At 40.4% G+C, this 12489-nt stretch overlaps 1 protein-coding gene and 1 pseudogene across 34 annotated transcripts in view, besides 1 other annotated feature; one reads left to right on the plus strand and one right to left on the minus strand.

The window, feature by feature from the left end:
• Positions 1-12489, minus strand: part of SRPK2 (SRSF protein kinase 2) — a 284618-nt gene that overhangs the window by 129861 nt on the left and 142268 nt on the right. The gene's annotated exons all lie outside the window — the stretch shown is intronic.
• Positions 22-415, plus strand: RPL36P12 (ribosomal protein L36 pseudogene 12; annotated as a pseudogene).
• Positions 54-594: an enhancer, noted in NCBI's record as "H3K27ac-H3K4me1 hESC enhancer chr7:104885101-104885641 (GRCh37/hg19 assembly coordinates)". NCBI's record gives its function as "activates a minimal SCP1, AML or CMV promoter by ChIP-STARR-seq in primed H9 embryonic stem cells {active_cell/tissue: H9 hESC(primed)}" and the evidence as "EXISTENCE:reporter gene assay evidence [ECO:0000049][PMID:30033119]".

Below are 12489 nucleotides of genomic sequence, written 5' to 3' on the forward strand. Positions count from 1 at the left end.
CACGCGGCGCCAGCCCCAGCGCGCCAGGGCCGCCTTTGGAGAGCAGCAGCCCTGGCTCTGCGCTACCCTATGGCCGTGGGCCTCAACAAGGGCCAAAAGGTGACCAAGAACGTGAGCGAGCCCAGGCACAGCCGCCGCCGCGGGCGTCTGACCAAACACACCAAGTTTGTGCGGGACATGATCCCGGAGGCATGTGGCTTCGCCCCGTACAAGCAGCACGCCAAGGAGTTACTGAAAGGTCTCCAAAGACAAACGGGTCCTCAAGTTCATCAAGAAAAGGGTGTGGGCGCACATCCGCGCCAAGAGGAAGCGGGAGGAGCAAAGCAACGTCCTGGCCGCCATGAGGAAAGCCGCTGCCAAGAAAGACTGAGCCCCCTTCCCTGCCCTCTCCCTGAAATAAAGAACAGCTTGAGAGGAAAAACAAAACAAAACAAACACACACACACACACACACACACACACACACACACACACCTCTTTTTCTTAGTATTTCCTAACCAAGTGGGAAAGAAATAAAAATCTTTATTCAAATAAAATTTGTGTCTATAGGCCAAAGAACGTGCTAGGCACCAGAAACGTGAACATGAGACAGTTAAAGCTCCTTGCGTCTCGAGCTAGTGGAGTGAGAAGCACTGAGTCTCAGTACAAAGGTCTAGATGGTGCTCTAGGAGGCAGCAGGACCCTCTGCAGTGGGATGGTAAGGGCAGCGTGCAGGGGACATGGCATCTTCTCAGTGAGGTCCAGGCAGAGGGAAGTACACATTATGAAGATAAGAAGGGTAAAAGAGCCAGAAATGGCAGGATCAGTGAGGACTTTAGATAAAGAGGACCACCAGACTGTGAACGACCTGTTTTAAGCTATATTAATGAGTCTCTTTTAGGAATATAATTCTGGGGATGATGCAAAGGGCGGAGGAACAGGAAGAGAGGCTAGTGAACAATATTTGAGGGCAAATGAGGAATGACAGATGAAAGCAGTACAGCGAGTTTTGACGGAAGCATTTGGAGAGGACTCCTGCAAAGAAACCGGTAGGATCTAGTGACCAACTAGATACAGACTACGGGGGAAAATGAGGAGATAAAGTAACTCGGGCTTCTGCATTTAGAAAACACTTTTTTTCCCCTCAAGAGACAAGTTCTCTCTGTTGCCCAGGCTAGAGTGCGGTGGTTATTCACAGGCACAATCTTCATGCACTATGGCCTTGAACTCCTGGGCTCAAGTGATCCTCCCACCTCAGCTGCCAGAGTAGCCACAACTACAGGCACACATCATCGCACCCAGCTGGAGACACTTTTAAAAATTAAATAGCAGAGTGACAAAATGTTAGGTCACCGCGAGGCAGGATAAAGCCTGTGGGCCCCACTGTTGTAGACCCTGGCAATTAACAACTAGCATGAGTAGGAAGCCTGGCAGAGAGAGGATAATGGCTCTAGCAGCTGCTGCAAAAAGAAAAGCTGGAAGGTTACATCGGCAAAAATCCTTACTATTTGCTAGAGTAAGATTAGGGAACTTAATTCTATTCTTACATAGACCTTACAAAATTTCTTGTTGCCTTCTACTTTCTTTCAAAGATATTTATGATGTTCATTTAAACACAGACAGAAAGTTACACACAGAGTAATTTCTGTCACCGACCCCAGAGCCCCTAAGGACAGCCATAAACCAAAAGGAATATTTATTCCCTCCCCCTCACCCTGCAACATTTTACAAGAAAGAAAACTGAATGAAGCACAGGCCATATGATCTATCTTTCATTACGGTCAGGAAAGATTAGACAAGATAATGAGTTTGGTTTAGGGCCAGTTATATTTGAGATGTCGACAGACATTTAGGTAGTGATGTAAAGTAGACAGCTGGACATATAGATCTGTGGCTCAGAATACAGAGCTACAGATATAAATGTGGTAGTCACCAGCCCACAAATGGTATTAACACCATGGAAACAGATGCGATCATTTTCAAAGAGAATGCAGATGAGAAGAGCAACAGACCTACGACAGTGACACTGAGGAAGGGCCAACATTTAGATAAAACCAACAAAGAAACTGAGAGGTACTGCTTTGGGTTCAACTTCTATCTACTTCTTCACTAATCAAAGACAGAAACCTTTTCTATTAAAGCATATATATTTTTTTTCAGTGCCAAATACTGAAGTATTGGAGTACTGAAGACAATCAACTATAAATTTTAACAATTTCAGTAAGTTGCCAGCAGTTAGTGACAGCAATCTTTCACTTTCCCTGAACTGTCAGAGAGAAATGGATTCCACTTAAGTGACATTTCCCAATAAAGGAAGCTTTTCCCTTTTTGTGAACAGCTCATAGCTCAAATTCTTCCAAGAGCCAGGCAGGTGAGTGAGAAGCACTAAGATTCAGACAGTAAATGCTGGGTCCTAGTTCTACTGGAGTGGGCCTGTGCCTCCTAAGGGCATTCACATTCAGTCTTCTGTAGAGAAAACTTGAGGGCCCTGGTACTTGCGGTACCATGTGACCTAGAAATCCAAACCATGCTTCCATGGGCTTTTTAACGACTGCACAAGGCCACATAGTAACAAACTTTCTTACATTTATCATCTCCAAGGTCTTTTCTCCAGCTATTAACCATTTTTCTCTATATACTAACTAAGTCCTCATAAACTCTGTGTTGTAAAAGAGACAATTCAAAAAATGATCGGTTCTGTGGCTTGGGTAAGTTATCTCACAGCCTCACTTTTTCGTCTGTAAAATACAGATGATTAATAATATTGTTATGAGGACTAACTGAAAGCGTGCTTGAAGTGAGGTCGTTAATGGTGAGGAAGAGGGGAAGAGAAGGTGAGTAAATGACGATGTCCTTTAAGTACATCACTGATGATCAAAGTGCCAATAATGCCTACACAACTACAAATAACACCGGAGTGCCATACATACCAAAAAACACACACACACATAAACACACACACACACACACACACACACACACAGAAGTTATACCTTTTCTTGGTTTTTAATTGTTCAAAGTTTTTAACTATTAACTGAACAAAATATGACAATTAAATGGTACCTAACAAAATGCATCACTAAAAAGAAGAAGTTTAATTCTTGGTATTTTAATTGACTGTATTAACCACCTATTTTTTTTAAAAAAAAGTTTTTTATTTTTATAGAGATGGTACCTCACTATGTTGCCCAGGCTGGTTTTGAACTCCTGGGCTTAAGTGATCCTCTTGCCTTGTGACTCCCAAAGTACTGGGATTATAGGGCATGAGCTGTCATGCTTGGCCTTAACAATCTTTTTTTTTTTTTTTTGAGACAGAGTTTCACTCTTGGTGCCCAGGCTGGAGTGCAATGGTGCAACCTCCACCTCCCGGGTTCAAGCGAATCTCCTGCCTCAGCCTCTCGAGTAGCTGGGATTACAGGCATGCACCACCACACCCGATTAATTCTGTATTTTTAGTAGAGAGGGGTTTCTCCATGCTGGTCAGGCTGGTCTCGAACTACCAACCTCAGGTGATCTGCCCGCCTCGGCCTCCCAAACTGCTGGGATTACAGGCGTGAGCCACTGCGCCCAGTCGGCCTTAACAATCTTTTAAATCATCTCCGGAAAAGGTTGGTACTACTTAAAGGAAGCAAATTTTATAGTCCTAAAAAGTCAGAATCACATTTATATTTAAACACCAGTATCCTAGCCTAAGAAATCACACAGTTCTCTTCAGATAGAAAAGAACTGGATTAGGGGTGGTGGCACAAGTACTTAATTCCAATACTTTCAGAGGATGAGGAAACAAGATTGTTTAAGTCCAGGAATCTGAGAGTAGACTGAGCAACACAGCGAGATGCCATCTTTACAAAAAATTTAAAAAAAAAAAAAAAAAAAAAGTCAGGCATGGTGGTGTGCACCTATAGTCTCAGCTACTTGGGAGGCTGTTGTGGGAGAATCATTTGAGCTCCAGGGTTGAGGCTGCAGTGAGCTATGATCATACCACTACACTCCAGCCTGGTAACAGAGCAAGACCCTACCTCTTAACAAAAAACAAATAAACAAACAAAAAAGATTTGAAACTAAAAATTCAAAGGTTAGTCCGGGCGCGATGGCTCACGCCTGTAATCCCAGCACTTTAGGAGGCCCGAGGCAGGCAGATCACGAGGTCAGGAGATTGAGACCATCCTAGCTAACACGGTGAAACCCCGTCTCTACTAAAAAATACAAAAAAAAATTAGCCGGGTGTGGTGTTGGGCGCCTGGGCTGAGGCAGGAGAACGGCGTGAACCCGGGAGGCAGAGCTTGCAATGAGCCGAGATCGTGCCACTGCACTCCAGCCTGGGTGACAGACCGAAGCTCCATCTCAAAAAAAAAAAAAAAATTCAAAGGTTAAACCAGGCTGGTCTAGGAGAGGGTGGAAAATAACAAAACTGTCAATTCTGTCCACGTGTGCTAGTTGTGTCTGTTCTATTTGATGACCAAGGACATCACACCTCGTCTCTCAGCCTTCTTGAGGCATATAAATGGAAGTGACTGGAGAAAAGACATGAAGAGCACATCCTGTTTCACACATCTGCAGCCTGATGCGGGCCACCTTGTACATATAAACAATGGACATCTTTGTTGTTCAGATATTATACTCTGAGGCATAGGGGTTTGGAGCTCCAAAACATAGCTTTTAGAGCATCTCTAATATTAACTGGTATGTGACATTCTTAAGTCATACACTTACTGGTTTTTTTAATCTACAAAGTGAGAATAAAGCCATCTACATTACTTATCAACAAGGATTTTTTTAAAGAACTAAATAGTGAACAGGAAAATGCTCTGTAAAATGAAAGGCATTTAAGTTATTTCTTCCCTGGCTAGGACACAGCTAGAAGAACAGTACTAGTATAATTTAAAATAATCATTCTTGGTTTTCTTAAAGAACAGAAAAAAAAAAACTGGTCAAATTCCTTTGTACTAAGTTCCCAGACTCTAAATGCCTGAATTTCAAATACTGGAAGTTATCAGTTTATAAGAATCCCATCTAGAACCTGAGTTGTATCAATTCACCATTTTGGGCATCAGTTTTTCTATCTAATGTATAAAACAAGGGTGTAAGATGACCCAGACTTCCATGTTCTTTTCTTGCTATCATGCTTTTTCATTCCATTCATCATCCTATATATGTCTGGTCAAAATCAAGCAATAATAGTTAAATGCTTTTGAATAGCAAATAAAAAATATTAAAATGCTACATCATTCATAAATGAACTTTTAACTTCCAAAACCTCAACTATACTAAAGTTAAAAAAAATAGTAATTCTCAAATGTGGAGATTCCTCCTAATAATCTATTCTTACGCATATGACCTAGAATGAGGATGACATATGATATGTAAATATTTTTCTCATATGAGCTCTTGTTGCCCATGTGCCTCTCAAAGCATGACCATTTCACTGAGCTAAGCGTTATTCTACTGTTAAAAAGTCGTGGCTACTTTGGCCAGGCACAGTGGCTCACGCCTATAATCTCAGCCCTATGGGAGTCCGAGGGAGGTGGATCACCTAAGGTCAGGAGTCAAGACCAGCCTGGCCAACATGGTGAAACCCTGACTCTACTAAAAATACAAAAAATTAGCCAGACATGGTGGCAGGCACCTGTAATCCCTCCCAGCTACTCAGGAGGCTGAGGCAGGAGAATCACTTGAACCCAGGAGGCGGAGGGGAGGTTGCAGTGAGCCGAGATGGTGCCATTACACTCCAGCCTGGGCAACGGGAGCAAAACTCTGTCTAAACAAACAAACAAACAAACAAACAAACATACTTTGTACCACATGCCCTTACATGCAAACAATGCAAGAAAAAAAAAACAAAAACCTGATGTGTTGCATCACTGGACAAAAGTTGGCTGTGTTGGATTTACAGAAGTATGTCATCAGTCACTGTAATTTCACATTTGGAGATATACAGGTTTTCCCTTACATGCATGCAAAACACTAGGCCACTGACTCCTAATAGGGATTTTTAAGTTCGAAATTACAAAATGTACCAAATCACACCAAGGAACTAAATGGAGCCTTGTTCTTAGAAAAAGTTAACTTCAGTAGATCTACTTTAAAAACATTTAAATTGGAAGAATATTTTTTGGAAAATGCTTGACTTGTACTGATCTAAAAGCTCTTCTCCAAATTCATCATGAATATCTGGTCCAAAGAATCGGAAAACCTTTAGTGGTCCCCATAAAACCTGTAATTCCATTAAACAAGTAGATGAACCGCTTAACTACTATGATAATCAGCTCCATTTTTTTCACCAGCTGTTAAATCTTTTCTAGCAACTCTGGGGAGGCAAGGGATAATAACTTTGTTTTTCTTCAGGAGCTAGAGGTACTGCCAAGCAGAGCCTAAGCTGCCACTAGGAACATGGCTGATATTAGGGCAGCAACAGCAACAGAAGCTACTCAGGGGTACGTGGCAGTGGAGGAATGAAATGAGGATGAAATGGACACTGCACAACTCATTACACCCAAACACAATTTCTTCATTTGTGTACTTTGAAATAAATACTTACATCTATGTTGAAATGAAGTAACTATAACAGGACAACGCCATAGCAATAAATACATCAATACACCTTTTCCTTCAACAAAAGGCACCCCAAAAAACTGACAGCCCTAAACTGAGGCAAAGGTCACATGTAAAAGATCTGGTGTTTCTTATATCACAGGCACCCAAGGGTTCCTCTAGAGAAGTCTTTCATTTATTCAAACACAGACTGTCAAATTATAACTGATGAATACTCAGTAAGAAAGGAGGCAAGCTTTTTTCTTTTCTTTTTTTAGAGACAGGGTCTCACTATGTTACCCAGGCTGGTCTTGAACTCCTGGGGTCAAGCTATGCTCCTGCCTTGGCCTCCCAAAGTGCTGGGATTACTGGTGTGAGCCACTGTACCCTGCCACAAGCATTTTTTATGAAAAAGACTGGGCTGAACAGCAACAACAAAAATTCTTTCCTCTAAGCTTAATCCCACAAGGCTTCCTTTTCAATAAATGAATATAATAACACCTACCATCATTTAATTGTAAACCTTCCACAGCTCTGCATTAAACAGAGGCTTCTCCTACAGGCTAAAGATTGTGCTGGTCTCAGGAAAAAGATGTCCTTTTTGCATACTGGGCCCAAAGAGTATTTTAATAATCATTAGTAATCACCATGTGGGGGTGTGTCTGGTGATGGGTACAAGAATTGAAATTTGAATCCAAATTTGGGGGTTTTGTATTTTTTGTAAGCTCTAGCTAGACTGAATGGCAACAACAAACTGAGGCTAAATTCAGTGTCGTGGCTTGAGGGGGAAGAAGGAGCTGACTACCATCATAAACCATAATTTCTCTACTGACCTTTATCTCTTTTATCAGACAACACAGAGTTCGTCTATATTAATTTATCTTTCCCTTTAAAACTGAACATTTAAGAAACTACACTCCTTTTACTTTAAAACTGTTTTATGTTAGTAGAACATTAAAAAGAGGATATAACACCAGGCAAGTAATATGATGGCAGATAACTGAATATTTTTCTCCTTAAATGATGACAGAAAATTAAGCAGCTCCTTAAAATAAAAAATGCTCAAAATAACTTTATACAAGGACAAATAACTGAGTGCAGTTTCCTTTAAATTACTAATTTGAGTTACAATGAAGGAAATAAACTCTTGCCTGTAAAATATAATACTGTCAGGATAGAAAGGGCAAAAGAATTTTAAAAAAACAAAAACAGAGTAGGGTGGAGCTTAGGAAACAAAGGGCAAAAGGAAGCAATATTCATTTAGGAACTAAAGAACAATAAAGGAAACAATCTTCATTTCTAAATTTAAAAAGAAAGGTTAAAATAACAGTTCACTGGCGTTCTCATCTGAAAAGAAAAAGTTGAGTGGTTTTTGAATTTTAAAATTAGGTAAAATTAAAAATTTAATCCTTCAATCATATTAGCCACATTTAAAATGCTCATAGGTTTTACTGATATTATACTATCTTCCATCAGTGGAAGACAGACTGCCCAGAAATTCCACTTAGGCAGCACTGGCCTAAGTATTTTAAACAATTTATAGAAATGATACTTTATATATCCATTGAGTAAGAATTTCTGCAACAAAATGATTAGTGAAACATTCCAATTATCATCTTTCTTTTCTTTTTTTTTTCTTTTTTTTTTTTTGAGACAGAGTCTCCCTCTGTTGCCCAGGCTGGAGCCCAGTAGTGTGATCTCAGCTCACTGCAACCTCCTGTCTCCCAGGTTCAAGAAATTCTCATGCCTCAGCCTCCCGAGAAAGTGGGACTATAGGCACGCACCCCACGTCTGGCTAATTCTTGCATTTTTAGTAGAGACAAGGTTTCATCATGTTGGCCAGGCTGGTCTCAAACTCCTGACCTCAGGGGATCTGCCCGCCTCAGCCTCCCAAAGTCCTGGGATTACAGGCGTGAGCCACCGCGCCCGACCCAAGTTAGTATCTTTAAGTTAGGATTTCTTTAATCATAATTAACTGCGTAAAACCTAGGAAAAAAATACGTAAGACTTAACAGGTCAATCACCTGTCTTTAGAAAGAAGCACCTCTAACTATGGTACTCCATTTCGATGTTTAATACCCCCAGTGTCAAGGAATTCATCCACTCTCTGTCACTCATTGTAAATGCTGCCATAATATTCCCACCAATTTCCAGAACAGATGAATAATATCTTGCTGCAAAGTCTACAGCATATCTTATAGCCTTCCATGCTAGGGGGAAAAATATATTTCTTTAGACTTTCTTTAAAAGACCTTACTTCATGCCCACAGGAAAATGTGCATGTATTATCTACAAACATCCTTGCTAAAACCTTTCAATGGCTCTTGGTAAACATCAGCATAAAATTCAAAGACCTTTCTTTGCCACCTGGTCACTATATACCCCTCTCATCTATTTTCCCATCCTCTCCTCCATCTCTTTTCCCGCTTATGCAAGTATTTAGAGTTTCAAGATGGTGCCACAATGTTTCATTTCACCCTGATTTCTCAGATGCTGTTTCCTGGAATACTATTTAGACTAGATCCAAGCCGTCCTGAGACTACACAGAGAGCACGCCCCTGTCCCCCACAAAAGTAATTCAAATTCCAGAAAGAAAAATGAAAAGGTCTTGACCAAAAAGGTGATTACATTTTAGAACTGTCTTAGAAGGGGAACAAAATTAAGTAGTAATTTTATTGTAGTGCAACAAAATTAAGTCATTGAAAATATATTGAGCAACCAATCATGAGGCCATGGTTGAAAAGGTAAGGTTAGAGAATCTTAATTCCTGTACATCTTTATTTTAAAAAAAAACAAACAAACAAAAAAAAACAAGCCAGCCATCTGTGTTGAATGTTTTGTCACCTGTTTAGAGTGAGAGGCTTGAATCACATAACTTCTTGAAATCCTTACAAAATTTAGATTCATTAGCATAAATAGAATACCCAAATTTTCTCAGTGACTATGTCACTTAACTGCTAACATCAATGGCTCATTTAGCTGTTTCGTAAATGCTTGACTGAATATAAGAATCTATTGATGAATCTTTTACCTCGTTACAGCTGATTGTACTGATCTTTGACTTACCCACACCCAATTAACACAGAAAGTACCACAATAATACTTAACTTTTACTAGAGTAAAGACCTAAAGAACAGAGACTAGTAAGTCAACACTATCTGGAATATTCTTCAATGTCATCTATACGACATTCAGAAAGAGGCTGTTTTGAGAATTTCAAGTGAGGGTGTAAGTTAAAAGGTTCTCTTATACACTGCCAATGACAACGTAAAGATGTATCTTTCTGAAAAACAAACACTCCTTTATAAAGAGCCTTACAAATTGGCTTCACAAGTGATTCCATTTCTAAGACTCAATCAATAAAATTATGTACATCCATCCATATCATGAACTCAGTTCTATGCAACCTTTATAAATGATACTACAGATGATTATTTAATAACATAAGAAAATTTGCATATGTTAAGTATAAAATGCCAGTTTGAAAATCATTTCTCAGTATGATACTGGATTGTACGGTTGGTGATGATGTTATCGTTGAAGTACATCTGCTTGTTTTTTTTTTGTTGTTGTTGTTGTTATTGTTGTTGTTGTTTTGAGACAGAGTCTCGCCCCGTCACCCAGGCTGGAGTGCAGTGGTGTGGTCTTGGCTCGCTGTAGCCTTTGCCTACTGTGTTCAAACAATTCTCCTGCCTCAGCCTCCTGAGGAGCTGGGATTACAGGTGTACACCACCACACCCAGCTAATTTTTGTATTTTTAGTAGAGATGGGGTTTCACCATGTTGGCCAGGCTGGTCTTGAACTCCTGACCTCAGATGATCCACCCGCCTCGGCCTCCCAAAGTGCTGGGATTACAGGCATGAGCCACTGCATCTGGCCCATCTGCTTTTTATAGATCTTAGACTAAAACAAAAAATTGGCCAGAAAAAATTAATCATGGTGACTGAACTTTAATGATTAACAGCTCAGTGCCTTATCATCATTTTATCTGAAATTTCTAAAATAAATAAGCATTTAAGATATGTAGAAAAAAAGTTATGCTAAAATGATAATTAAGTTAGAGGAAAAGGTTTGGTTCTACCGGGGAAACTAATATTGTTTCTCCTTACAGATGAAAAGAGCAATGTTAATTATTTCCTTAGTATGGCTGTCAAGAAGCTTAAAGCCAATTTTGTTAGTCACCTTTACTAGTTGCACAGCAAATACCCGTATCTGCGTGTGCATCTGACTATCCTCCATCATAACCTTCTACTGTGATCTGCATTTTCTCTGACCCCCTTTTTTCTACTGCATTATAGGTAGTTATCAAACTAGTCTCAATATATTTCCTGGGGGGAGGGTAGGTGAAGGGAGGAAAAGACAGATGGAAAAGAAGGAAAAGGGAAAGGCGGGGAATAATGAGGTGGCAGTTTTGAAAACAGAACATTTTTCTACCTCCACCATTTTCAGATTATTTATAAAGCTTAAGTTCTACCATAGTGGGTACATAAATATTTACAGAACAAATCAATGATATCCAAGTTGAGAAACGCACATCTAGGCCAGGCACAGTGACTCTTGCCTGTAATCCCAGCACTTTGGGAGGCTGAGGCGGGCAGATCACCTGAGGTCAGGAGTTCAAGACCAGCCTGGCCAACATGGTGAAACCCTTTCTCTACTAAAAATACAAAAATTAGCTGGACGTGCTGGTGGGCACCTGTAATCCCAGCTACTCAGGAGGTTGAGGCAGGAGACTTGCTTGAACCTGGGAGGCAGAGGTTGCAATGAGTCAAGATTGCACTCCAGCCTGGGCGATAGTGTGAGTCCATCTCAAATTGAAAAAAAAAAAAAGAGAGAGAGCGAGAACAAGAAAAATGCACATCTGTCAGGGCTCTTCCTATTACATACAGTTAATACCTTATTGAATTTTGTACTGTTATTTTAGTATGGCTATTAGAGCAGTGATCTGCAGTGTTTGGCATGCCTCAAATGTCAGAAAAATCCAGAGACACACCTGTGAGCATCAAGATAATTTTACTTCCATTATTTCAATCTACAGCTAATGCTTAGTAATCACAGTATTTAAAAATCCCCTACAATAAGTCTGCACAAGTCTGTGGCTCACAAATTGAGAATCAATGTGCTATAGCACAGAAGAAAAATATTTACCATAGGCTGAATCTGAAGAGGAGATACTCTTATTGTTAAGGCTGTTTTGAGTTACTGTTTTGTTTCTAACTTGCACCATTATGTATGTATGTACGTACGTATGTATGTATTTTTAGAGACAGAGTCTCACTCTGTCACCCAGGCTGGAGTGCAATGGTGCGATCACAGCTCACTGTAACCTCAAACTCCCAGGCTCAAGAGATCCTCTCACCGCAGCCTCCTGAATTGTTGGGACTACAGGTACACATCACCATGCCCAACTTATTTTTAAATTATTTTGTAGAGACGGGGGTCTTGGTATGTTGCATGGGTTGGTTTTGAACTCCTGGCCTCAAGCAATCCTCCCACTCTGGTCTCCCAAAGCACTTGGATTACAGGAATGAGCCACTGTGCTCAGCCACACAAGCATTTAAAATGAAGAGATTTGACATAAAAATCCAAATGTTCAACTCGTAAAAAAAATCACAAGAGCAGGCAAAACTTGCCCGGTATTTCTACACGGCAGCAATCAGCAAGAGAGCCGATCAGCACCCACATCTAGATGGTGTCATCATCTCCAGTTTCTGTGCTCCCCACCTGGCTGTAGCCACTCATTGGACATACTCTTGGTAAGCAACTGTGTTTGTAACCTCTTTACCATACCACTCATCTTTTAAAGTAAGTTTCCCAGAAGTGCAATTATTAGTTATGTGCAATTCTTTCTAAGGAGTGCCAAAAGCTACTCACTGTAGTGTTGTCCATTAGAGTACTTAGCACTGCATGTCCAAGAAACAGAACAAATTATGCCAGGGGCCAGCCACCCACGAATGTGTCTTCCATGCAAGGTTTGTA

This window comes from Homo sapiens, chromosome 7, assembly GCF_000001405.40.
Source record: "Homo sapiens chromosome 7, GRCh38.p14 Primary Assembly".
Lineage (NCBI taxonomy): Eukaryota > Metazoa > Chordata > Mammalia > Primates > Hominidae > Homo > Homo sapiens.